This window comes from Homo sapiens, chromosome Y (genome assembly GCF_000001405.40).
Source record: "Homo sapiens chromosome Y, GRCh38.p14 Primary Assembly".
In the NCBI taxonomy this organism is placed as follows: domain Eukaryota; kingdom Metazoa; phylum Chordata; class Mammalia; order Primates; family Hominidae; genus Homo; species Homo sapiens.
The window spans coordinates 7,046,493-7,073,733 of record NC_000024.10 but is presented as its reverse complement, the minus strand read 5'-3'; the positions used below and the strand labels follow the sequence as shown (position 1 = coordinate 7,073,733).

Sequence of the window (27,241 nt, the reverse complement as noted above, 5' to 3'; positions counted from 1 at the left end):
CTCTGTCAGTCAAGATTTTGCTTTAAGACTGAGTCCTATTTTATGTTGACTGTGAGCATTTTTAAAGGAAACTAAGAAGTGTCTTTGAAACTTGCTAATCTTGGGTTTTGGGTCAGCCCTCAACCAATTAGCATTACTTTATTTGTTGGCATATAACTTAATTTAGCCATGTCAAAGCCATCTAACATTGCAGAGAATATATAAACTCATCATACTTGTGCCTGTGTCCTATCTGGGCAGTACTGGATGAGTTAACGAGAGACAGAGAGAGAGAGAGAGAGAGAGAGAGAAAGACCTTATGAATGAATGATTTCTTAACCTAGTTATATCCTAGTGCAGGGGTCTGCAAGCTTTTTCTGTCAAAGGCCAGGTAGTAGGAATTTCAGGCTTTGAGGGCCATCTGGTCTCCCTTATAACTGCTCACCTCTGCTGTTGTAGCATGAAAGCAACCACGGACAAGTGTCAACAAAGGAGTGTGACTGTGTACCAATAAAACTTTACTTAAAGAAACAAATGAGGGGCCAGACTTGACTTGTGTGGGCCACAGTTTGACAAATGCAATTATGACTTCTCTAGGAGTGGGACAATGTTTAGAGGTCAAGACTGTCATTTTATAATAACTTCGAACAGAAAGCTGTTACTTAAGGTTTTCAAGTTATCCCGAAATCATCACAAAATGCAAAGTCTCGTGGAAGCCTGAGCATTGTTCAGTTGTAGAAACACAAATTGATGTAAAAACAAACATCTTTTATTTTCTCTCTCAATTCTACATAATGATTCTTTTCTGAAGCCATGGCTTAGAATTCTTGCTGAGTCTTGGGAATGCACAACTGTTCCAGGAAGGCTGTTTGGGGTCACCATTCCAGCTAGCCCTGCCACTGGACATAGGAGGAAAGTAAAATCCACAGAGGCCAAGATTTCTGGATAACTCAGATTCAGGGCTGTGATAAAGTCTGCATCCCCTTCCTCTTCACCCTGGGTTCCCACCCTACTGATGGCTTTTAGAGGAACCTGGAGTTAATGCCACCATGGCTCCCCGTAGACCTGCCCAGGGGCACAGCAAGTCAATTCTAAACGGCTTCGTAGGCCATCTGGGGAGTATGCCCTTGTGCCCAGGTTGCTAGATTCCTGCTCTGAGAAATCTACTGTCTACTTTGAGAAGCAGCAGTTGATCAAATGAGGATACCTGAAGCCTGAGAAACACACACAGCCTGTGCTACTCAAGTTCCTCAGTGGGTGAAAGTTCAGGCAGTGCAGGCCTCACATCACATGGCTCCTTCCAGCAACTAACAAATGCAATGTGGAGATCTTCCTCTCTCTATCACTGAACCATGTAGCTCAAATAAAGTGAAGTTTTGCACAGAGGTCTGCAGAACAGCAGAATATATTAAGAGATGATATGCTACATCTCTTAATATATGAAAGATCAAAACCACAAAAATAAAGCCTAAACAAATCGTTTTCATTTCTTAAATGGAAGCACAAAGCCTAAGAGATCCAAGAAGCCAAGATTTTGAGATTTAAAAAAATCATTGGCCAGGCAAAGCGGCTCATACCTGTAATCCCAGAACTTTGGGAGACCGAGGCAGAAAAGTCACTTGAGCCTAGGAGTTCAAGACCAGTCTGGCCAATATAGCAAAAGCCTGTCTCTACTGAAAATATAAAAATTTGCTGAGCATGATGGTGGGTGCCTGTAATCCCAGCTACTCAGGAGGCTGAGGCAGGAGGATTACTTGAACCCTGCTGAGGCGGAGGCTGCAGTGAGCTGAGATGGTGCCACTGCACTCCAGTCTGGGCAACAGAGTGACTCTGTTCCCCCACTCCCCACCCCCCTAAAACAGAAAAAGAAAAATAGTAAATAAGCACCTATAGATAAAGGGGCATATTTTAAGCTAATACTCACTTTGTCTACACCAGCACTCAAAACATAATTCCCCTTTTTGTTCCATTTCAGAGCGAAGATGGGGCCTTTATGTTGGCCTAAGGTGCTGGCCAGGTTACCTGTTAGTAAAAACAAACATGTTGATTCTGTTGTCATGGTCTGTTCAATCAAGGGTTATGTATGGCAGCTCCTCTTACCTGACCCATGCAGGAGGGGTGCAGGACTTACCATTTTCTGTCCATATTCTTGCGAAACCATCATATGAACCCATAGCCAATAGTGTTCCATCACTCTGAGGGCCAGAAAGAGATACAAACTCAGAAAAACAGCTTAGGAGTGGGAGCACCAAAGAAGCTCAGAGAGCCTCTCTCAGGATCCCAAGTCCAGAGGGTTCTTCAGGCAATAGTTGGTGCCATGCAATGTTAGCACACCCTGCTCTTAAATCAAATATGCGGCATGAAGACCAAGGAGACAAGGGAGCAATGAAAACACAATGGAACCATTCACCACTTTGTGTTCTCTAATGAGTGACGGAACTAAAAACACCATGATGAAAGTTATCATGACGCTTTGCAGGAAATAAAAAGCAGTGGAACTGTGTGCATTCCATGTGTCAATGCACATGACACTTGTTGCTGAAATCCTAAGGTGAAGAGGCACCTTTCCTAGACTGCACCTCTTGTCTCCCCAGGAGAAATACCTCATAGCTCCCAGCCTATTTCCCCACCATGAGACCACAGGCTCATTTTGCTAAGACATGTTCACGATGCAAAGATATGGCTACCAAACAACCAGCTCACTGTCTGCCTGACGTGGCCTTATTAAGAGCTGTTAGAAGCCAAGACCACCTCTGTGGCTAGCCCTCCAGGTTGGGCCTGAGTACATGGGACCACCTGCCTCCTATGTCTGCACACATTCCATCACTGCAGCCCATGCCTGGCTGGCAGATTTTACCAATTTCAAAGTGCCCAGGGGGTGGAAGATGCTTACGTTCCAGTCCAGTGAGGTGACATCTTTATTACTTGGGACGTCGTGCCCCCCTTCTCGTATACAATGTCTCAACACGAGCTGGGTGGAGCCCCCGTTGCTATTCTCATTCAGGTTCCATATCCTTGCAGTTGAGTCTCCAGATCTACAGAATAAAAACACAGAAGCCTCCGGTATTTGGTTCAAATGGGATGAGAAGCTCACTGCAGCTTGCTCTCTGGCCAGGTGACATTGTAGGCATGTGCTCTTCTGTCTTTATCATACCAGTGGATCCCTGTTTCCCTCCTTGTCATCTTTGCATTTGGTAAATTTAACTGCCTTGTATTGCTCCTCACTCCATGGAGAAAATGACTCGGAACTAAGGCTTCTTCACAATACGAGACACGTATAGAGGTGGCTCAAAGAGCAGCCCATTCCTGGGTCTGCCCACATTGGGATAAGAAGTGGAGTGCACGTTCCTCAAGGCAGAACTCCAGGGAAGGGCAAGCAGCTTGCGTCTCCCTGACCCTGGAGTGCCCCCATCCTGACTTCCTTACCCAGAGGCTAGCAAATCACTGACAGGGTTCCAGGCACAAATGAACACCTCAGACTCGTGGCCCCGAAGGACTGTGGCTTTGTTGGGTGGAATCTCAACATCCCCATCTATTTCCATTGGCTTTGAGTGATTATCTGTCATAGGAAACACAAAGAGACATATGGCTTACCAATACAAGAGGAAGGCATTTAAAGGGCACTTTTGTTTCCAGAAACACCTTGTTTTTACGTACTAAGTAACACTACCTCTAACGAGTCTAACTAAATTGTGGCTTTTGTGCAGTTTAGCAAACATATCAGGTTGCTTTATAATTTCACAGTCTCTAAACCTCACTGAGAAATAAAAACAGAGAATCTGACCTGGTGTGGTAGCTCACACCTATAATCCCAATGCTTTGGGAGGTCAAGGACAGTAAACTGCTTGAGGCCAGGAGTTCAACACCAACCCAGGCAATTTTGCAGGACCCCGTTTCTACAAAAAAATTGCAAGATTACCCAGGCACAGTGCCATATGCCTGTAGCCCCAGCTACTCAGGAGGCTGACATGGGAGGATTGATTGAGCCCAGGAGGGAGAGGCTACAGTGAGGCATAATTATGCCACTGAACCCAGCCTAGGGGACAGAGCAAGGCCCTGTCTCTAAACTGCCTCTCCAAAACAATTATTTACTCTTTGTGAGTGAGGCCAGCAAATTATAGCTCATGGACAAAATCTAGCCACCAGCTGCTTCTGCATAAATAAAGTGTGGCTAGCAGATAGTCATTCCGCAACTGCTGTTCTCATGAAAAGAGGGGATTAGGATACAGACACCCACAGAGGTACAACCACGTGTGGACACAGGGAGAAGACAGCATCCACAAGCCAAGGAGAGAGGCCTAAGAAAGGAACCATCCCTGCCCTCACCTTGATCTCAGACCTCCAGCCTCCAGAATCATGACAGCAAATTCTTAAACTGCCTGGTCTGTGGCCTTTTGTTAAGGCAGCCTGAGATGACTCTCATAGCTGCTTTTGTACTATGACAGACTTCAGCAGCTGTGACAGGCTGCATGACCCTCAAAGCCTGAGACATTTACTGTCTGTTCCTGTATAGAAAGTTTGCTACCCCCAGTTTATGCTCATGAGAAAGCAGCAATATAGCCTGATGATCAAAGAATTAGCAACGGTTAACAGTTTCACGATATGGTGAGGAATTAAGCATGTTTCGTTATGTCCTTCATCAAGGCATTTTGACTGAAAACTTGGGAAAGAGAAGCAATGTGATCTTAGGTTGGTTACCTGCCACTGAGGAAGGAGTATTTTCTACATTTAAAAAATAAAAAAATCTCTTGCCATTCTGCTTGGCTCAAGAACCCTAATAAAAAAAGTTACGTAACAGTGAAACTCTTCAATGTTGGTGACTCTTTCATTCTCTGAAGGTGTCATCTGGCAGGAAGAGAGGAAAAATGTCTTTCCCCATATAACAGAGTTGTTCATGGCGATGGCAAGAGGGCAATTGGTATACTAGATAGCTATGCAGTGGTTGGGGTCCTGGTAACTGAGAGGAGGCACAGCTGTCAGAGGCTGCACTCTTACCAAAATGCAGCCTTCAAAAACTCCTGCCTCAATAGGCCAGGCTGTGGCTCACAAACAGGGTGCAAGGTCTCATTAGGTGGTCATGGTGGCTGTTCTAGAATTTCTGCCAGGGTGGACTAGTTAGGACTGGCCACATGCACAGGGGAGACAAAGCCAGGCACTCAGGGGTAGCGACTAATGCATTGACACAGTCTAGACAGAAGGTTGCAGGGAGAAGCACTAAGCACCCATCCAATGCCTATAGTTGGGAGTTGGTCTCTGGGGGAGGTATAAACCAGGTAAGCAGCCCATCTGGAGCAGTGGTCAGTGGGACGGCTAATGTTCTGGGCAAGGCACATGTATGTCACAGCACAATGGATTCCAAGCATGGATCCCAGGAAAAGGGCCCGATTGTCTCAGCTGTACTTTTTTTTTGTTTTTGATTTTGGGGTTTTTTTGTTTGTTTGTTTGTTTTTTTGAGATGGAGTTTCGATCTTGTTGCCCAGGCTGGAGTGCAATGGCACAATCTCGGCTCATTGCAACCTTCACCTCCTGGGTTCAAGCGATTCTCCTACCTCAGCCTCCCAAGTACCCGGGATTACAGACATGCAACACCACACCCAGCTCATTTTTGTATTTTTAGTAGAGATGGGGTTTCTCCATGTTGGTCAAGCTGGTCTCGAACTCCCGACCTCAGGTGATCTGCCCGCCTCAGCCTCCCAAAGTGCTGAGATTACAGGCATGAGCCACCGCGCCTGGCCTGCTCTAGTTTTAAATAGCTCTTCTGGTGTGAGAGTTTGTTGGTAGAAGGTGCACTAGGTCTGAGCAATTTTTACACTATGACTATTCAACTGCTAAAAAATAAATTTAAAAAATCCAATACCTGTCTTTATAGGACACCAAGCATCTCTGAGGGGCTGCTGATAAGAAGGCTGAGTGTCCACTTTACACTGGTGTGTAAAGTGACCAGGAATGCTGAACTGAATGCTGCCTTTCTTTGATCTTATGCACAGTGGGTTCTATAGAGGCTCATGAATCACACCTCCTCTTCTACAGGAATCAGACAAATATCATCTAATAACCATGTGTACAAAGGTGGCTTAGGATGACAAGTACCAGCTGGAAGTTTCCTGTGTTTTTGATAAAACAAGACATTTCATTAAAATGTACCTTTCTGTGGCATCGTTTCTGCATGTAGGAAGTTCCCACTGGTAAATACCATCATTCCTTCCAAATGTCCCCTGCCTTCAAACACCAAGCCCATGGGCTCAAGTGCTGTTTTCTTATTGGAGCCACTTTCTTTTGAAAATTTTCTTTTTAGAGACAGGGTCTGTGCTGTGTCACCCAGGCTACACTGCAGTGTCTTGCCTTGATGGCTCACTCCAGCCTCAACCTTCCCAGCTCGAGCAATCCTCCTGCTTCAGCCTCCTGAGGAGCTGGGACTACAGACACATGCTGCTACCCCCAGGTAATTTTTAAAACTTTTTGTAGATACGGGGCCTTGCTATGTTGTCTTGAACTTCTAGGCTCAAGCGATTCTCCCACCTGAGCCTTCCAAAGCAGTGTGACTACAGGCATGAGCCACAGCTCCTGTTCCATATCAGAATTCTCAGTCCAGGCAGAACCACCAGGACTTCAAATTGAAGGAGCCTAACCTGGGAGTGCCATAGATTAATGGTTTTGGGCTCCTGGGTAGGTTCATTTATGATGGAGACAAACCTTAAATGCCATGGTCAGGAAAACCAGCCTGGAAAGTGGCTACTTTTCTCGCAAGTAGCAGGAAAAAAAGTTCTTTCTACTTTTAATTTTTTGAGACAGTGTTTTGCTCTGTTGCACAGGCTGGAGTGCAGTGGTGCTATCGCAGTTCTCTGTAGACTCCACCCCCTGAGCTCAAGTGATCCTCCCCACTCAGCCCCCTGAGTACCTCGGACTACAGGCATGTGCCACCCCACCTGGCTGATTTCTACATTTTCTGTAAAGCCGAGGTCTTTCTCTCTTTCCCAGTCTGGTCTTGAACTCCTAGATTCAATCAGTCTTCTTCCTTGGGCCTCCCAAGTGCTGGGATTATAGGCAAGAGCCACCGCATCTGGCCAAAAAAAAAAAAAAACAGTTCTTAGCCGGGCGTGGTGGCTGACGCCGGTAATTCCAGCACTTTGGGAAGCTGAGACAGGCAGATCACCTGAGGTCAGGAGTTTAAAACCAGCCTGACCAAAATGGTGAAACCTTGTCTCTACTAAAAATACAAAATTAGCTGGGTGTGGTGGTGTGTGCCTGTAGTCCCAGCTACTGGGAGGCTGAGGCAGGAGAATTGTTGAATCCTGAGAGGTGGAGCCTGCAGTGAGCAGAGATCACACCACTGCACTCCAGCCTGGGTGACAGAGTAAGTCTCCATCTCAACAACAACAACAACAACAACAACAACAATAACAACAAAAACAGTTCTTGAGGATTAAAATAAAACTGGACTTCAGGTCTGGCCTCAGACTGCTGAGACATAACAGTGGTGGAGAGCACAGGCTGCCTTGCTGCAATACAAGGGCACTCTGCCAATGGAACAGTGGAAACACTGCAGGTAGCCCCAGGCCCAGGAAATAGAGCAGAAGGTCTATCATTCAGGAAGGTGTCCATTGGAGGAGGAGCATCAGTGGTGGGCACACCGACTATTTATAAATGGGAGTTCCTCTGCACAAGCTGTCTTGCCTGCCACCATGTAAGGCATACCTTTGCTCTTCCTTTACCTTCTGCCATGACTGTGAGGACTCCCCAGCCATGTGGAACCACGAGTCCATTAAACCTCTTTCCTTTATAAATTACCCAGTCTTGGTCCTGCCCTTGACACATGGGAACTAGAGATCTGGGTGGGGATGCAGCCAATTCAAGGTGAGATTTGGGTTGGGATGCAGTCAAACAACCATATCCACTGTGAAAACAACTACAGCCATTTTCTCAATTTTGAGAATCTGAGGGTTGTGCCCCATGTCACTGCATAGTCAGTGTGAAGAACCACATGCAGGTCCTAATGAAACAAAAGCCATCTACCTGCAACTGGCCAACTTGGTTGAAGGCATGTAGGTGTCTCTACTCTGTCCACAGCCAGGGTTAACATGGACTCCACATTAGAGTTTCTGTTTTTTTAAAAATTGGTACAGAATAAAACTGAACTTCAGGTCTGGCCTCAGACTTAACAGTGGTGGAGAGGACAGGCTGCCTTGCTGTATTGAAAATTTCTTCCTTCATAGACGCCAACTTCGGAAACTTCATGAATACAAATTACTTTCTGTGATGTAAGACTGTTGTAATTGTCCGTTCTCATACTGCTAATAGAGACATAGCCAAGACTGGATAATTTATAAAGGAAAGAGGTTTAATGGACTCATGGTTCCACATGGCTGGGGAGTCCTCACAGTCATGGCGGAAGGCAAAGGAAGAGCAAAGTTATGCCTTACATGGTGGCAGGCAAAACAGCTTGTGCAGAGGAACTCCCATTTATAAAACCGTAAGATCTCATGAGACTTATTCGCTACTACCAGAATAGTAGTGGGGAAACTACCCCCCATGATTCAATTATCTACACCTGGTCCTGCCCTTGACACAAGGGAACTAGAGATTTGGGTGGGGATGCAGCCAATTCAAGGTGAGATTTGGGTTGGGATGCAGTCAAACAATCATATCCACTGTGAAAACAACTTCAGCCATTTTCTCAATTTTGAGAATCTGAGGGTTGTGCCCCATGTCACTGCATAGTTAATAAATGACCTGTAGGTACAAGCTGGGTATTCTCTTACTCTCCTTTTCCTGCCCCACAATCATGGACTTTATAAATAAAAAGCCAGAATATCTTTTCATTGACCCAAAGCAGACAACCTTTATGTCACACTATTTTAATAGAAGAGACATTAATAGTCTAGGAGAGCTTTCATTAAATGCTAGATCTGATTCTCCAGCCAGAGAGGCACTTTAAGAATTTGTTCACTGGTGCACACATGTATATACACACCCTCCCACCCACTAGTGCACCATTCATGGAACATTTGCATGCTCTGAACTTACATACATGCTGAAGTGGCTTCTCTATGGGTTTATAGAGCAGTAGTATGTCCAAGTGGGGCAGGTTCTCTGGGTAGAAATTCAGACTCACTGACTTACCATGTACTTGCTGGCAATTACCTAACAGGGAATGATGTTCTGGGATTTTGCAAAGACCAAATAAGCTGATGCTCAGTTTTTGGGGCCCAGTGCCCTCGGCAGGAACCATGAACTCAATGATTATACCACAATTTGGCCAAAAACACTCAACATGGAGGGCTGGAGGCTGAGACTAAATTTGTCCATGAATTAAACACTTTTGTTTATGATGGGCCATAACCATGTATTATAGGAGAGTTCTCAGACTGGCAGTGCACACAATTTCCTGAAATTGAAGATGAGAGTAAAGAAGGTCTGGTTGAAGGGTTGTGATGGAAAACTGGAACGGGAGCTCTTCTGGGTAGATTGAAAGCAAACAATAAAGAGCAGCTACTAAGACATTTATATCAGGTAGGTTTTTAAGAAGGCATTCAGACTGACCCAGATTTAAAAGAAAACAATGAACCCAGAGAGGCCCACCAAACTTCCAGAGCCTGCGCACTCACTGATTTCATGTGCTCCATTCTCTTCCCCGTTCACTGTGGCCTCTCGGTTCTTTGGAGGATTTTGCTGGGAAATAGCAGCTGGGGTCATGGTTGCCGCCTTTGCCATTGCTGATGCCTCTGTGGCTGCTGCACTGGCTTGCTGCTGAGTGAGCTTCTCTCCAAATGCCTGCTGCCGCATCTGCACCACATCAGGAATCACAGCAACTATCAGGGACAGGGACTCTATAGGGCGGCTGTCGAACACTGTGCCATCCTGGGGAAGCAAGCCAAGGGACAGCCATCAGCTCACAAGGGTGAGGGCTCTGGGAATGGTCTCTACTCTCTGGGCAGGAGAGGCACGGGGAAGTGGAGCATAAATAGCTGGCTCCCAGCAGCCAGGGGGCCACGGGGGAAGTAGCATAGACCCTGTTAGATATGAGTTCTAAATTTCTTTTCAAAGAATCAATATGTCAGTATGTTCAATTTTTTACCTTCACTTTTAAACTTAACTTCCTCACAAAGCAACCTTTTTCAATTACCTACTCTACCCTGACTCATTCCAATTACCTACTCCACCCTGACTCATTCAGATTACCTGCTCCACCCTGACTCATTCCGATTACCTACTCCATCCTGACTCATTCCGATTACCTACTCCATCCTGACTCATTCCGATTTTCTGCTCTGCCATAACCATTTTTCGTGCCAAACCAATCACCCTGTCACTCTCTTGAAATTAGCCAATCGGAATTAGTTTAGCCTGTGTGGTCTAACCCTAGCCAATTGCGGAACGACACAGCAGGAGGGGTCACGTGCGTCAGGGATAAGAACCCTTCCCCTCCCTTGTCCGAGTGTGCGCTCACCATTGCTCCATCTGTAAGGGGTCACCCTTCTACAGAAGTAACTTGCCTTGCTGAGAATTAAAAAGAATATTTTATATTCGAATGCTATTTCTTTTGCGGCACCAAAACTTTATATATAACAATTTCGGGGCTCGTCCGGGATTACATTTCCCCACTGGGGACTGTCTCTGACTCTCTCTGGTGAGAAGTCATGCCCCACCCCTTGTGGCGGTCTCAGGGGTGAAAAATCAGAACCCACCCTGTGCGAGGAATAACCTGAACGCTCAGCAACACGCGGGAAAAAAAATTAAAAACTTGCCAGCATCCTACCTTAAAGGATCCTCACATACTGTGGCGATTACTCTGTGCACAGACCAGGGAAAGAAAAGCCAGGGGAGCTGGTAAAGTATTTCCTTGGTGGTCGGGACCACGATGAGAAAGCCGCAGGGGGTTCAGTGAAGTACCCCTTGGTCGGGGGCGGCTTAGAGGTTAAAAAGAGGTGAGACATCCCCACTGTGGGGGACTGAACCTCACACAAACTTCCAGTAGTAGAAAAGGCAAGAAATTTCCAGTGGGGAAATTGAGCCTCAGCCCAAAACACAAGAAATTTCCAGTGGGGAAATTAAGCCTCAACCCAAAAGGCAAGAAATTTCCACTAGCGGAAATTGAGCCTCACCCCAAAAGGTGAGAATTTTTCAGTAACGGACATTGAACCTTGAACCTGACCCCAAAACCATCAAGAAGGGAAATACCCCAAGCAAGACAGGGAGCAGGGAGGATAAAGATGGTAACAAAGATATCCCCCCAATACCTTCATAGGTCTCATGCTAAAACACTGGAAGGATAATGAAAGGACTAAACATAGGAAAAAGCAACAAATGATAAAATAGTGCTCTTTTATTTAGACTCAGGGACCCATCCTCAAATCCTCAATTTTCTGGCAAAAGTTTGGGTCAAACGAGGATGTAATGTGTCAGCTTCTAATCTGACACGTTAATGCTAAAAGTCCAGTGTCTCAAGAAGTAGGCTACGCCCTTTGTTGGAGGCAAGGACTTGCCCTCCTTTTTCCCTTAATAACAAGTAGGGAAGAACCTAATCTGGCACCTCAAAATGAAAAATCAGAGGAGCCAGCTCTCATGCCTAAAGATTCCAGCACATGGGATCCCCTAGTCTATGTTCCCCCATTCAGTGTCCCCAGTCTTTCCCCTCAGACAGCCACGGCCACCTCAGATCCCATTCCAAATTCCCCCTCTACTCACATGAGCCCTCCTCCTCATAACCCTGACTCTTAGGAATTACCATTCCACCAGCCTGTTCTCTCCCAACCTAAATACCCCTCTCTAAAATGACTCCAGCATGAGGTAGATGAATGTAAAAAAGATATTCAGAATTTTCCATTTCCCTCTGTACCTAAGAGGTCAGCTTGGACCCTCTTCCCTTTGAAAGAGGTACCACAAGGCAGGGGAGGGGGTGGGGGGGCAGGCATTGGCTTTGTAAATGCCTCCCTAACCAGTTCGTAAGTCCAGAATTTTAAAAAGGGGCTTAAACTGCTACTAGATGACCGTTATGGAGTGGCAGACCAAATTGAACAGTTCTTAGAACCTCATTTATACACTTAGGTCATGTTAATATCCATCTTGGGTGTTCTTCTTTCAGGGGAAGAAAGAATAAGTAGCTCCACTTCCGCTGGTCCCTCCCCTAGGGGAAGGAGAAGGAGAGGGGAGAACAGCGGTATAAGCAGCTGGTAGAGGAAGCGAAACAACAGCAGAGAGAGAGAGAGAGAAAGAGAGAGGAAGAGACAGAGACACAAAGAAGGGGTCAAACAGACAGAAAGAGAGAGACAGGAAGTCAAAGAAAAAGAAAAAGAGAGAGATAGAAGTAGTAAAGAGAAAACAGTGTACCCTATACCTTTAAAAGTCAGGGTGAATTTAAAACCTGTAATTGATCATAATGAAGGTCTTCTCCATGACCCTGTAACATTCCAACACGACCTTGTTGTCAGTATAAACAAGAGCGTAGCCCTAAAGCACTGAGGCCACTGAAAACCTGTAGCCTTCCTAATCAAAAATCCTTAACCCAGTAAACCCAGAATGGCCCAAATGCATTCAATCTGTAGCGGCAAATGCTTTGCTAACAGAAGAAAGTAGAAAAATACTTTTAGAGGAAACCTCATTGTAAGTACACCTCACCAGTTCAGAACTATCCTAAATCAAAAAAAAAAAAAAAAAAAAAAAAAAGCAAAAATGTAGCTTACTAACTCAAAAATCTGAAAGTTTGGGGCTATTCTGTTAGAAAAAGATCATTTAACATTAACCACTGATAATTCTCTTGACCCAGCAGGTTTCCTAACAGGTTATCTAAATCTTAATTAATTACCATAGAAAGGTCCAACCAGACCTAGGTGGAACTCCTTTCAGGTCAGGACAGTAAATGGTTCCTTCGGGGTGACAGAAGGAAAAAGACATAATGGGTATTCAGTAAGTGATAAGGAAACTCTTGTAAAAGCAGAGTCAGGAAAATTGCCTAATAATTGGTCTGCTCAAACATGTTATCTGTTTGCTCTCAGACAAGCCTTAAAGTACTTACAGAACCAGGAAGGAACCATCTATACCAATTCTAAGTTAATTTGGACTAAACAATCTCATTAATAGCAAAGGATAATTGAAATCACAAACTTACACGGTTTTCAACAAAAGTAAAATTTGCTAAAAGTGAACAGTGTAACATGTATTATCCTAACTTCTAATCTTGTGGCCTTAGGCAGTCTAGAACACAGACATGAAGCAAGTTGCTTGGAAAAGAATGGTTATCAACGTTGAGAAAAAAAAAAAAAAGGCAGGGGGAGAATTTATATAAAAAGGAATGTTATATAGTAAATTCTTGTCCTAAAATAAATTAACTAGTTATTTAAAGAAAGGGATGGATGCAACAAGTCAGAAAGCTAAGGCAGGTCAAAGAATTGTCTGTGAAAGTCGTGGAAAAAAAAAAGGTATAAAAGGGAATTTATGCAAGAAATATTGTATAATTTAAAAGTAAATAGGACTCCTAAACGTGGAACTACAGAAAAAACAGTTTATGTGCAAAGTGTATAAGGAAAGTAAAATATACCTTTGGTAAAAGGATTATAAGGAGGCATAAGAATGTGGATTTTTACCTACATTAAAAGGGTAAAAATATATATATTTTGTTTTAACAGTTTAAGCAAGTTTTGAAACGTTAATTGTAAAGGAAATTCTGTGTGTAAATATATTGGATAAAGTTAAAGGGGTATCATTCAGTTTTTTTGTGAACTGGACATTAAAATAAGAGCACAACAGGTTTTTCTTAAAGCATTAACCTGCTCTTTAACAAAAATCATGAAAGGTTAAGAAGAGTCTATGAAAATCTTACCTTATGGTCAGACATTAAAAATTGAATAAATATGCCTACAAGGTTTTATTAAAACTAAGTTTAACACTAATAACACCCTAATATAAAGGCGAAATTTAGCTTATCTGGTATAAAAACCATACAGGAAGCACTGTCAAATATAAAATGGTGTTTGGCTTTCTTTGGTCTAAAAACTAATAAAAATAGGTGCTAAAGGAAATTTCTCAGTAAGAAGGCACCAAGGACTATAAAGCCCACTGCTGACGTCCCCACATTTAAAACAAAAGGTCAATTTCATACTTAGTTTATCTTCCACTTTCCTTTCCCTGAAAACTAAAGTCTTTTAGCACAGGTACCACTCCTAGAATTTCTGGTAAACCAGCACCAGCCTGAGGATCACATTCTCATCAAAGGGTGGAAAGAAGGAAAACCCCAGCCAGCCTGGGAAGGAATCTACTTTGTGCTGCTAACCATGGAGACTCCTGTTCATACAGTGGAAGGGGATGGATTCATCACACCCGAGTCAAGAAAGCGCCACCCCCTCCAGAGTCGTGGGGTGTAGTCCCAGGGGAAAACCCTACCAAACTAAAGCTAAGAAAAATTTAACTCTTTCATCTATTCTATTTCTCTTTCTTCTTTGCTCTATTGCTGACCTAGTTATTAACATAACCTAGTCAATTTCGCCTCAAACTATTGCATTTAATGCTTGCCTTGTTATACCCCTGGGGACTTGCCAAGTCAAAGACAGCTCTGTACTTCAGAAAAGTACCTCTGTCCCTCCTGACTCTCCTCAGACCGAGCATTAGTGTATTGGGACCACTTAATCCAGAGAGATTTCAGTAAGGCCTCAGTGTCAGCCAGGGGTCTTGCTCCCCCATGTAGAGCTTTTATGCCATAGTTGGTCCAATGATCTGTGGACCATTAAAGAGCAAAAATGGACTGCCCCAACCAGTTTTTGTAATTTCCTAAAACCATACATTCATTTTACTAGAGGAACAGCCCTCCCTGCTAACTGTCAGGTAAATCAGTGTAATTCTATACAGGTTATTATCTCAAACCCTCAAAGTTCTTCCCCATTCCTAAGCCCGGTTCCCTTCTTATGGTATGGGGGCTGAGGTTTCAAGGACAAACCCTGTCAGATTCTTTGAAATGCGTTTCTTTGATCCCCCACCACCTGCAACTTCCTCTAAACCTTCTTCCAAAACCTCTCACAATGGAACAATTGTTTCTCCTCCATCTAATGACAAGACCAAGATAGCTATTGTAAAATGTAAAGACTTAAAACAAACTTTGGCAATTAAGACAGGATGCCAAGATGCAAATGTTTGGGTGGAATGGATCAAATATTCTGTCCACACATTAAACAAAAGCAAATGTTATGCTTGTGTGCATGGCAGGCCAGGGGCCCAGATTGTCCCCTTTCCACTAGGATGGTCCTTCAGTCAACCAGGCATGGTCTGTATAGTAGCTCTTTTCCAGGATTCTACAGCCTGGGGTAACACGTCATGCCAAGCTCAGTCTTGCTATATCCCAAAGCCTGGCACCCTGAGGGTCAGCCCGAGAGCCATCCAGCCTCCGTTTCCCAACACTAAGTTCACTTCATGTCTCTCAAACAGGGAGAAAACTTAGCATTCCTTGGAGACCTGAAGGGATGCAGTGAGCTTAAGAATTTTCAAGAGTTTACCAATCAGTCAGCCCTTGTTCATCCCCAAGTGGAGGTATGGTGGTATTGTGGTGGACCTTTTGTGTGGTGGTATTGTGGTGGACCTTTACTGGATACTCTGCTAAGTAACTGGAATGGCACTTGTGCTTTAGTCCAATTGGCTATCCATTTCACCCTGGCATTTCATCAACCAGAGGAAGGAAAAAGAAGACACTATAAAGTGAGAGAAGCCCCTTAAGGGTCTTTTGACTCTCACATCTTTTTAGATACAATTAGAGTCCCACAGGGAATACCAGTCAATTTAAAGCCCGCAATCAAATAGCTGCAGGATTTTTGTCAATATTTTGGTGGGTGACAATTAATAAGCATGTAGATTAGATCAATTATATTTATACAACAAACAGCAGTTTATTAACTACACTAGAGATGCTGTTAAAGGAATAGCTGAGAAATTAGGGGCTGCTTGCCAGATGGCTTGGGAAAATAGGATAGCCTTAGACATGATATTAGCAGAAAGCGGAGGAGTTTGCTTCATGATTAAAACTCAATGTTGCACCTTCATCCCAAACACCACTACCCCTGATGGAAGTATAACAAAGGCATTGCAGTGTGTGACTGCTCTATCCAATCAGTTGGCCAGCAACTCAGGGGTAAATGACCCATTTACAGGATGGTTAGAAAAGTGGTTTGGTAGAAAGGAATGACAGCCTCAATTCTTACTTCCCTCACAGCCGAAATGGGTGTACTTATTCTTGTTGGGTGCTGTGTCATACCATGCATCCATGGGTTGGTGCAGAGGCTCATAGAACCAGCACTTACTAAAACCTCCCTTAACTATCCTCCACCTTATCCAGAGAAGCTTCTTCTTTTGGAAAATTAAGCAAAACAACTAAGCCAAAACATGTTTAAAAAAAAGTTAGAGAAGAAAGAGCTGTAAGAAATACAAGGGGAGGGGTGGTTAGACATGAGTTCTAAATTTCTTTTCAAAGAATCAACATGTCAGTAGGTTCAATTCTTTACCTTCTACTTTTAAACTTAACTTCCTCATAAAGCAATCTTTTTCAATTACCTGCTCCACCCTGACTCGTTTGAATTACCTGCTCCACCCTCATTCTGATTACCTGCTCCACCCTGACTCAATCCAATTACCTGCTCCACCCTGACTCATTCTGATTACCTGCTCCACCCTGACTCATCCTGATTACCTGCTCTGTCATAATCATTTTCTCAGCCAAACCACTCACCCCGTCATTCTCTTTAAACTAGCCAATTGGAATTAGTTTAACCTGTGTGGTCTAACCCTAGCCAATAGAGGAACGACACAGCAGGAGGGGCCACGTGAGTCAGGGATAAAACCCCCTTCCCCTGCCTCGGGTGTGCACTCACCATTGCTCCATCTGTAATTTGGATGTAATTTGGGTGTAAGGGCACACCTTTCTATAGAAATAACTTGTCTTGCTGAGAATTAAAAGAAAATTTTATATTTGAGTGCTATTTCTTTGGAAGCACTGAAACTTTATTCATAACAACCCAGAGCCCAGGAGCGTGGGGTGAATGATTCCATGGTGGGAAAGGGGAAGGGAACATGGCAAACTGTTAAGAACTAGGTGTGACCACTGTTCGGAATGTCAAACCCAGTTGGGGCATTCAGGACAAAAAGGCCATTTATTCTGGACAAACTGTGGTATCCCTGATGCAGTGATTCTCAGTGAGGGGTGACTATGCCTCCTTGGGGGTAATAGGCAATGTCTGGAGATAGTTTTGGTTGTAACAACTGAGGAGGAGGAATGCTCCTGACATCTGGTGGGTGGAGCCTGGGGATGCTACTGAACACCCTACAGTGCCCAGGGCAGCCCCACTACAAAGACTCAACCAGCCCCAAATACTGAGTGCTGGGGTGGAGAAGCCCTGTCCGGGTGCTTCCTGACTGTGCAAAATCTCTGCAAATGTCCACCCATTATACGGGAGGGTAATGCTTCAGAAGCCCACACCATTCAGGCCTGGATTGGAAGTCCATCTGTTCATGAGATTTAATAAAATAGGCACTTGCTGCTACTTCAAATGACTCGTTGGGTTCAGGGTTAGACTAACTAGAGCCTTGACATAATTAACAACATCATTTCATTCTGATTCACGTTTTTTGTTTTTTGTTTTTAACATTCTTTGATTCTTTGATTTCCATCTACCAGAGAAAACTTTCCACACACATTTAAATATACAGGAGGAAGTTCCTTCCTTGTGCAGCATGCCAAATACTAAAATCACATGAAACTGAATATGCCTTGGGGTAGTGTCTGGTGCACATGCAAAGACGTTTTTATACTCCCCGAACTTGAACAACCTCAGAAACAAGGAAGAATTGAAAGGCTCGTGTTTCAGTTGAAGAATAACTAAATGAAACACCATCCCAGAAGATTTCTGATTACAAGACACTATTTGAAATAAGGAAAGCAATACAACCCATGTAAACAACTAGCCGCATCACCTCAGGCAACCTTGGCTCCTGATTCTGGCCATGGAGTAGGCAATGGTGACTGGTCAAGACACTTTCATACCCTGCTCCTCCTTCATATGTGCACACCCAAATAAACAAGCACATCACAAAATGCAGTAACTGTCTAAGACGGTAAAAACACGTACTCTTTTTTAAACTCCAAGAGCGCACTCTCTCTCTTTCTTTAGAGACAGGGTCTTCTTCTATCAACCAAGTTGCTGTGCAGTGGTGTGATCACAGCTCACTACAACCTCAAACTCCTGGCCTGAAGCGATCCTCCCACCTTGGCCTCCTAAAATGTGGGGATTATAAATTTGAGTCACCTCCCCTGGCCTGACTTTAATGACTAGAAACCACTGAGATAAATGAGATGGTGTTTTATTGGTCCTCAGTGTCCTGGCATCTGGAGTGCCAAGGAATGGAAGCTATGAAGGTTTCTCAACAGGGGAAAGGCAGAAGGCAATGAGCAGAGGAAAATGGAGTCACAGCACCCTGAGACCTGAGATCTTGCTGGCCTCAAGCACGTGTCCTCCTAGTGAGGCAGGAAAATAGGGTGTGCATGCAGAGAACATAAGGCTTATTCACACTTCAGCTATGACAGGAAATTTCCTCTCCATAGCGCATATACTGAGTAAATGACTTGTAACTTTACTTCTTCATCTCCATTTACACATGGTACACACCAGTGGAATCCTCTGGGGGTATTTAAACTTTCAAAAATTCTGTAATGGGGCCCTTGAGCCCCTGTGCTTTCAGGGCCTCTCCTAAACTGTGGAGTGTAATTTCATTTTCAATATATCCCTTTATTCTGTTACCTGGGGGGGCGTCCTTGCTCCCAGAGCTCCCAAGATGGTGGCAGGCCGCTTCCAAAATAGCAGTGGGCCACTTCCAAGATGGTGGCAAGCCTCGTGTTCCCTGACCTGGGGTTCTTGGCCTCACAGATTCCAAGGAATGGAATCTTGGGCCATGCAGTGAGTGTTATAGCTCTATTAGAAGCCGTGGGTCACAGAAGAGAACCATGGAACCTAGTGACTAGTGTTCAGCTCGATTAGGATGAACCCAGGCACTTAGCCGTGCAGGAACAATGGCAAGCCTTTAGCCTGATCAGGAGTAGCAATGGGCACCTCACTGAATCAGAAGCACAGCAGACACCCTGCCAGATCTGGAGGGATGGAAGTCAGCGGTAGGTCTGCGACTGTAGCAAACAGCAGTGGTGGACTGCGAGTGAAAGCTCAGCTCAAGCCATAACACGGACCAGAAGAGTGCACTTGCAAGATTTAATAGAGTGAAATAGAGTGGAAAGAGAGCTCTCATACAAAAGGAGGGGACCCAAAGAGCGTAGCCATTGCTGGCTGGAATGCCTGGGTTTATATCCTGACCACTGCCCCTCCCCCTGTGCTCTCAGGTAATAGATGATTGACTATTTCTTTACCTCCTGTTTTAGCCTAATTAGCATTTTAGTGAGCACTCTTTACTATCTGACTGGTCGGGTATGATCTAAGTTGCAAGCCGCTTAAAGGTGAATGCAGTCACCTTCCCAGCTAGGCTGAGGAATTCTTAGTTGGTCTAGGAAATCCAGCTAGTCCTGTCTCTCAAATCCTTCCTTGCTTTGTTTGTGCATCTTGTCCAATTTTTTTCTTCAATATGCCAAGAACTTGGACACACCCATCAATAATATATTTTGGTGAGCCAGCCAGGAGAAACTCCAGGAGAAGGTAGCCCCAAAGTTTGAGATTTATGTTTCTCCTTCTCCTTTCTGCTCCGTACAAGAGAATCTTTCTCCCTCTCTTTTCCCTTCCAACTCCGGACCCTTGGGCAGCAGTGCCTAAACATGGAAGCAACTGCAGGTTTCTGGCTCTGCCAGTGAAACTAATGGGTTTCCATGTGGAGAAGCCTGACTGCCACTGCTGGTTTGCTTAAGAGACCAGGGTCTTTTTTGTTTTTTTTCCCCTTTCCTTTTCAGTCTTTCAGTGGCTGTTTTTTAGTAGCTCCTTGAAGATTGAGGGCGATTGGCTGGGGCCACTCCCTGCTACTGCCTGAAGGCCTAGGAATGAATGGGAAGTTATAACTGCCCTGCCCAGAAGGGAGATGGACTTTTTTAAAAAAATATTTTCTGGATGTGGTCCTGATCCCTACCTTCGGCATGGCTCAGAGAGAACTTGCATATGTTTCTGGTAACTTAAAGCTTCTTTTCTTATGCTAAATTATTTTCTTCCCCTATTAAACTGGCTAAGGGCAAAAGAAACCCACCCAACCTCCAGTTCTTATCATTAAAGTTCATGGAATGGCAAGCATGGGAAAGTGTGCTAAGTATGCTAAAAGGTGGGGATTACACCTAGGTACCAAACAAATGCTCATAGTAGGCTCTGGAGGGAAAGCAGGCACTGGTGCCCACCTAAGGTCAGAGACATCTGACACTCTTAAGATTGGGCCCCACAGGAAGACACTCCAGGGGATCCTGCAGACCTTAACCTGCTCAAAGGGGACACTCTTGGCAGAGGTTCTGAGGTCTAGTCATAAGCTCTTCTTAGAATTTTCTCTCACAGTTGCAATGCTGCTTGTTTAGAAAACTGTTCAGAATCTGAAGTTTGGTGTCAAATGGGAAAACGGGATGGCGTATGTATCCAGGCTTTTGTGCTGCTGTTGTTAGCAGGGGGCTTGGTTAACATGTGATGCCTCCTTTCATATACTTTGGCCCCAGTGCTCTTTGGAATCTGGGAGGTTTGGACTTTAAAAATCAAACTGCCACAGAGACTGCTTTACCAGAAATTTTGATGCACAGCCTTCACTGGATTATCTATGTAAAAAGTAAAGCAGAGGCTCCTCTTCAAAAACTTTCCTCCCCATCTAATTAGGAATTAATAGTAACTTCTCTTAGAAGCAAAATTTATTCAAAGACCTGTGCTAACATTCTTAAATATCTGCTAGTCCTAATAAAGAAATCAATGTACTTTATGTTCTTAGCTCCCAGAATTTAGCCTAAATATTTGCCCTGGCATGCTTATGCTGGTCCAAGCAAGCATTAGGTCATAGCATGTTCCTCTTCCTTATTTAAACGTCTTTTTACCTTTCTCATCATTCCACAAGTTACTTCTTGCTTCCTTTGTTCTCCTCTACCTTTGCCTCTATTAAAAAGTTCTAAGTTGCTAGCCAATAGGGACAAATATAGAATGTGAGGTCCCATTCCAGCCAGTGGAAACCGGACATGGCAGTTAAGGTGGATGCGTCAGGTTATAAATAACCCTGTCTCCTTTGTTCAGTGTACTCTCATGGCAAAACTGCTGGCAAGTCTACCCTTTCTGCAGAAAGTAAAAAAATGGCCTTGCTGAGGAAATTAAATTTATGTTTATGTGCTATTTCTTTATGGCACTGGGGAACAAGCATTGCAAACATCTATTGGGGCAAAGTAACAATGGCAAGCTTCTATTGCTATCTCATGGCCAAGGTTCTAAGGGATTGGATCATTGTTTATGTATGTGTATCCATGTCTAGATGTGTTTATTTGTATGTAGACTTATTGTTATATGTTGTGTCTACCAAACTGACTTATAAAAGAGCACTCATAAATTAAGTAAATAAGTCTAGGCAATTTTTAAGTTCATGTGACTTAACTGTAACTTTACTAAACAAGCTAGTTTTACAATCATTGGTGGAACAAAAAGAGAAATGCCCTCAGAATTGTCAGCATATATTTTGTCCAAATTTTATGTCTGTCTTTGCTACCTGTGACCTGGAAGACTGAAGCCCTCTCCCTGCTTCAAGGTGTCATCCTGCCTTTGTGGACCAAACCCATGTTCATTTTACATATGTTGATTAATGTCTGATGTCTCCCTTGTTAAACTAAAAATTAAGTACAGTGAATAGGATAATTGTTTTAGGTAAACTTTTAATGTAAATTAAAATTTTAAAAGTTATTTTTGATGATCCTTTAATATCCGAGTTATTTCCAATTAAGACAGGGTCGTAAAATAGGGAAACATGTTTCTAAAATTGTGGAATTGTTCTTATCTATAAATGCTTGCAAGTGATAGTTCAGGATTTCTTGCTTTTTAGGATTTCACTAAAGTTTTAGGTTACTAAGGATAAAAACTCTAGGTAACATGTAATTCTGTATAGAAAATGTGCCAGAAAGGGTTATGTTACTAGTGGAAAAAACAATACTTTTGTCTAATTCAGAACTTATCTAAAAGTTAAGTTCAAATTACACATTTGAAAAGGTTAATTATGAAACAATGTAGTAAGTAATCATTTACAAAGGGATAAAAATGTGGAAAAGGTTGGGTATTTTGGGGTTTTTTTGAGATGGAATTTCGCTCTTGTTGCCCAGGCTGGTATGCAATGGTGCAGTCTCGGCTCACTGTAACCTCTGCCTGCCAGGTTCAAGCAATTTTCCTGCCTCAGCCTCTTGAGTAGCTAGGATTACAGGTGCCTGCCACCCTGCCTGGCTAATTTTTTGTATTTTTGGTAGAGACAGGGTTTCACCATGTTGGCCAGGCTAGTCTAGAACTCCTGACTTCAGGTAATCCACCTGCCTCAGCCTCCCCAAGTGTTGGGATTAGAGGCATGAGCCACCACACCTGGCTGGAAAAGGTTTAAATAATAAAATATTATTTAAGACATTCTTAGAGACATTTGGCTAATTAATACTTTCATAATTAAAGCTTTTAGTCTTGATTACTGGTCATGTACCTAAAGCGAATTTCTCAGTTGCACAGGATGCATAATGATATTGGTGAGCTTGAAGATATTAAATTGTGTGTCAAGAATAAAATATTCAATATGCGGGTTTTTTAAAAGCCTAGGTAACACTGTAGCCTCCCAGGTAAATTGAGTAGGAACATTTAGGTTTGGTCTGCTGTTTGTTTTTGCTTCTAGTTTTCATTCACTTGCTGTCTATTCTCCACAGGCTTTGCTTGAGTGTATGTGTATATGTACATTGTGTGTGTGTGTGTGTGTGTGTGTGTGTGTGTGTGTATCCATGATGTCTTTTAGTTCCTATTGGAAAGCTTCTTTTTCGTTCCGCGAATATTTTGTTTCCTATGTATTTCTAGCAAGTCATCATTTGTTCCATTTACCTTGAATTTCCAAGCTACCTTTATTGGGCCTGCAGAAATTAATGGAGCACACCAGCTTTCGATTCTTAAACTAACTTTTTGGATTTTAGGCCTCCTGATACTTTAAGTGTGTTGAGAATACTCTCATCAATAGAATATAAGTTATATTTCTCTCTCTCTCTGCCTAATTTCTTGAAAATTTTTAAACTATTTGGGAATATTCTTTTTTTTTTTTTTTTTTTTTTTTTTTTTTTGAGACAGAGTCTCTTGCATTTTGCCCAGGCTGAGTGTAGTGGTGCAATCTCAACTCACTGCAACCTCTGCCTCCTGGGTTCAAGCGATTCTCCTGCCTCAGCCTCCCAAGTAGCTGGGATTATAGGCATGCGCCATCATGTGCAGCTAATTTTTTATTTTTAGTAGAGATGAAGTTTCACCATGTTGGCCAGGCTGGTCTCGAACTCCAGACCTCAAGTGATCCACCTGCCTCCAGCTCCCAAAGTGCTGGAATTATAGGCGTGAGCCACCACGCTGGCCTATTTGGAATATTCTGGATTCATGGCATTGTATTTGTTTGCATACAGTCAAGCAGGGTCACTAGAGCTGACCAGAAACCTGCCATGCCGGCAAAAGGGTAAGAATTTCTTACCAGTGAGTCTCTGGTCTCTGTGGTAACTGGTTAAATGAAAGGCAAAAGTCACTGTTTATCTTCTCTGGAAGTTTTAATCAATGCAAAAGAGTTTAATTAATTGATTTAATAATAATAAAAAGCTTAAATCAAATATTTCGTCTGAAAAGTAAAAAGTGCAATGCCTTGGGCAAGGACTTCATGTCTAAAACACCAAAAGAAATGGCAACAAAAGCCAAAATAGACAAAAGGGATCTAATTAAACTAAAGGGCTTCTGCATAGCAAAAGAAACTACCATCAGAGTGTACAGGCAACCTACAGAATGGGTTTACAATTTACCCGTATGACAAAGGGCTAACATCCAAAATCTACAAAGAACTTAAACAAATGTACAAGAAAAAATAAAAACAACCCAATCAAGAAGTGGGCAAATGATATGAACAGACACTTTTCAAAAGACATTTACGCAGCCAACAGACACATCAAAAAATGCTCATCATCACTGATCATCAGAGAAATGCAAATCAAAACCACTATGAGATAGCATCTCACACCAGTTAGAATGGCGATCATTAAAAAGTCAGGAAACAACAGGTGCTGGAGAGGATGTGGAGAAACAGGAACACTTTTATACTGTTGGTAGGACTGTAAACTAGTTCAATCATTGTGGAAGACGGTGTGGCAATCTAGAACTAGAAACACCATTTGACCCAGTGATCCCATTACTGGGTATATTCAGAAAGGATTATATATCATGCTAGTATAAAGACACATGCACATGTATGTTTATTGCGGTACTATTTACAATAGCAAAGACCTGGAACCAACCCAAATGTCTATCAATGATAGAATGGATTAAGAAAATGTGGCATATATACACCATGGAATACTATGCAGCCATAAAAAAGGATGAGTTCATGTCCTTTGTAGGGACAGGGATGAAATTGGAAACCATCATTCTGAGCAAACTATCACAAGGACAGAAAACCAAACACCGCATGTTCTCACTCATAGGTGAGAACTGAACAATGAGAACACTTGGACACTGGGTGGGGAACATCACACACCAGGGCCTGTTGTGGGGTGGGGGAGCGGGGAGGGAAAGCATTAAGAGAAATACCTAATGTAAATGACGAGTTAATGGGTGCAGCACACCAGCATGGTACATGTATACATATGCAACAAACCTGCACGTTGTGCACATGTACCCTAGAACTTAAAGTATGATAAAAAAAAAAATGTAATGCCTTTTACTTAGTTCATATGACTTGAGTAATCTTTGGGAAATAAAGACAATTTTAAAAGTTATTGGTAAAATACAATTCTCTTCAAAATGTAAATAAATATATGGTCTAAATTATGTCCAAATATTAGGTTTGCTAAATGCTTTAAGTTTATAAGCTGCTTCTTTGTCTTTTGAGAATTGTTTAACTTGCCTGCTTTCCAGCTAGGTAAGTCCTGGGGACATGTGGAGTTGGCCACACCCCTAGCTATGCTGGAAACAATCAGATCTTATCAACACCTAGCACATAATTAACATAACAGGTTTTATGTTAAAATTAAATTGCTAAGAATCAACATTGTAACATGCAATTAAGACTGCTAGAAACAGTTTTACATGCAAGGTGTGTAAGAACAGTATAATTTTTTTTTAAAATAAAAGGTTATATGAAAGGTTTTCACTTCTTTAAAATTTCCGAGTCATGATTTTGGCAAAATACATAATTTATGGTAATCTGAAATTCAAAAATCTAACTTCAGTTTCAATGTCTTTCCTAATGCCTGGCTTTTTGGATGGATCACAGGGCCCCTGAAAACATCCAGAAAAGAGGTAAACAGGATTATTTGACGTTTAGATACACAGGACTGCAAAAATGATGTTCAGTCTTTTTTAGGTTATATTTTTGTGAATAACACTAATATATGTTCCAAAATTGTACTGCGTTTGTAAAATTTTAATGTCTAACTATGTTTATTATGTTGTTGTTGTAAACCACAGAAATAACCAAATTTCCTTGTATAAAGCTGCTAACCGAAGCAGAACAAAAAAATTAATCAAATATCGGCCGGGGGCAGTGGCTCACACCTGTAATCCCAGCACTTTGGGAAGCCAAGGTGGGTGGATCACAAGCTCAGGAGATCCAGACCATCCTGGCTAACACGGTGAAACCCCGTCTCTACTAATATACAAAAAAATTAGCCTGGCATGGTGGTGGACACCTGTAGTCCCAGCTACTCGGGAGGCTGAGGCAGGAGAATGGCGTGAACCCAGGAGGCCGAGCTTGCAGTGAGCCGAGATCGCACCACTGCACTCCAGCCTGGGCCACAGAGCAAGACTCCATCTCAAAAAAAAAAAAAAAAAAAAAATGAAACAAACAAACAAAAATCAAATATCAGGAAAATACTTTGTTGGATTTTCATGTTAAAGCAGCTGATACTGAAATTTTTTAAATACGCAATTCGAATAAATTCCACATTCTCAGTCACATTACCTATGATAACCCATTAATCAGTGCTATACACCTAATTTGGAAAAACGTGATATTCAAGAGGATACATCTAATGTTAATTAGGCATGGACTCACGGAGAACCAGGAGGATGCCCACCTTGTCCCTCCTGAGTCCTTAAAGCTCTTATTACTAAAAGTTCTGCATGCCATGACTCAGCATGGAAAAGATAAAATAACCCAAATTGAATACATTGGTGTGGTAACTTACAAATTCTTCAGGTACATTTGGTCAGCTGGTGGGCCATGTTATAAAGGAATTTCATTTAATTGTTATTTTCAATGCATGTTCTGGTTGAAAAGAAGTTTTCCCCTGCAGGAGGGCTGATGTTATAACAGCAAATTATTATGCTACGGAGTATTTTCAGCAGGTAAAGAAAGCTTTTTATGATTTGGATCTTCTGAGAACATCAAAGAAAGACTGCTTTTGCCATCCACACTACAATGTACATTGTGCACATGTACCCTAAAACTTAAAGAACACTTTTACACTGTTGTGTTTGGGACCTCGGGCTTTGGGCTTATGGTCTTGCAACTGAGAAGCGTCCCTCCATGCTCTTGGAACTGCACACCTGTTGGAACTCTTAAGGTAAAACTAACCAGGGAAATTTCTCTCAGGAAAGAGATGGCATCCTTGATGTGAACAGCTTTTCCCAAGTTCACAGATTAAGACTTCTACTATCAAGAAACTCTTATCTTTGAATATTTTCTTTTGCTTATGCCTCTATGAACAACTGGAATGGAAAAGGAGTCTCTTATGTGCACTTACAGGACATACATTTATTTTTGAAGGAGTTTGTAGCCAGCCTTATATATGGATGTTTATCTTTGATAGATAAAGGATAAAGGCCTAATGCAGGTAAGAAACTTTAATGGTACATACTTTGCCTTGTAATCAGTCAAAAACAAAACATTGGTTCACTTCTCTTAATGTACCTCATGGCTTAAAGAGAACACTGCCAGGAGGCCTTCAACTCTTCTAGAAGGGAATCATTTGTTAGGTCCTTTTTCAGGGGGTTAAAGTAAAACACCAATGACTAAAAATGTGTTTCCCATAATAGGCTCTATGGCACATTCTATGGTAAAGTCTACAGTTACACAAGAGACTTTAAATCCTCCTGTG

The 27,241-nt window shown here is 42.7% G+C and overlaps 1 protein-coding gene across 3 annotated transcripts in view, besides 1 other annotated feature; it reads right to left on the bottom strand.

Annotated features, from left to right (window-relative positions):
* TBL1Y (transducin beta like 1 Y-linked) overlaps window positions 1-27,241 on the bottom strand; it is a 180,987-nt gene that overhangs the window by 17,950 nt on the left and 135,796 nt on the right. For all 3 annotated transcript variants that reach the window (NM_033284.2, NM_134259.2, NM_134258.2), the window contains 5 exons: window positions 9,585-9,837; window positions 3,406-3,538; window positions 2,873-3,014; window positions 2,111-2,174; window positions 1,904-2,001 (listed from right to left, as the gene is read on the bottom strand). In NM_033284.2, the coding sequence (NP_150600.1) occupies window positions 1,904-2,001; window positions 2,111-2,174; window positions 2,873-3,014; window positions 3,406-3,538; window positions 9,585-9,837 (690 nt within the window). The remainder of the gene's footprint in view (window positions 1-1,903; window positions 2,002-2,110; window positions 2,175-2,872; window positions 3,015-3,405; window positions 3,539-9,584; window positions 9,838-27,241) is intronic.
* Window positions 9,120-10,319: an enhancer, noted in NCBI's record as "P300/CBP strongly-dependent group 1 enhancer chrY:6931456-6932655 (GRCh37/hg19 assembly coordinates)". NCBI's record gives its function as "activates an origin of replication core promoter dependent on BRD2, BRD4, P300/CBP, MED14 and CDK7 cofactors, with strong dependence on P300/CBP, by STARR-seq in HCT116 cells {active_cell/tissue: HCT116}" and the evidence as "EXISTENCE:reporter gene assay evidence [ECO:0000049][PMID:35650434]".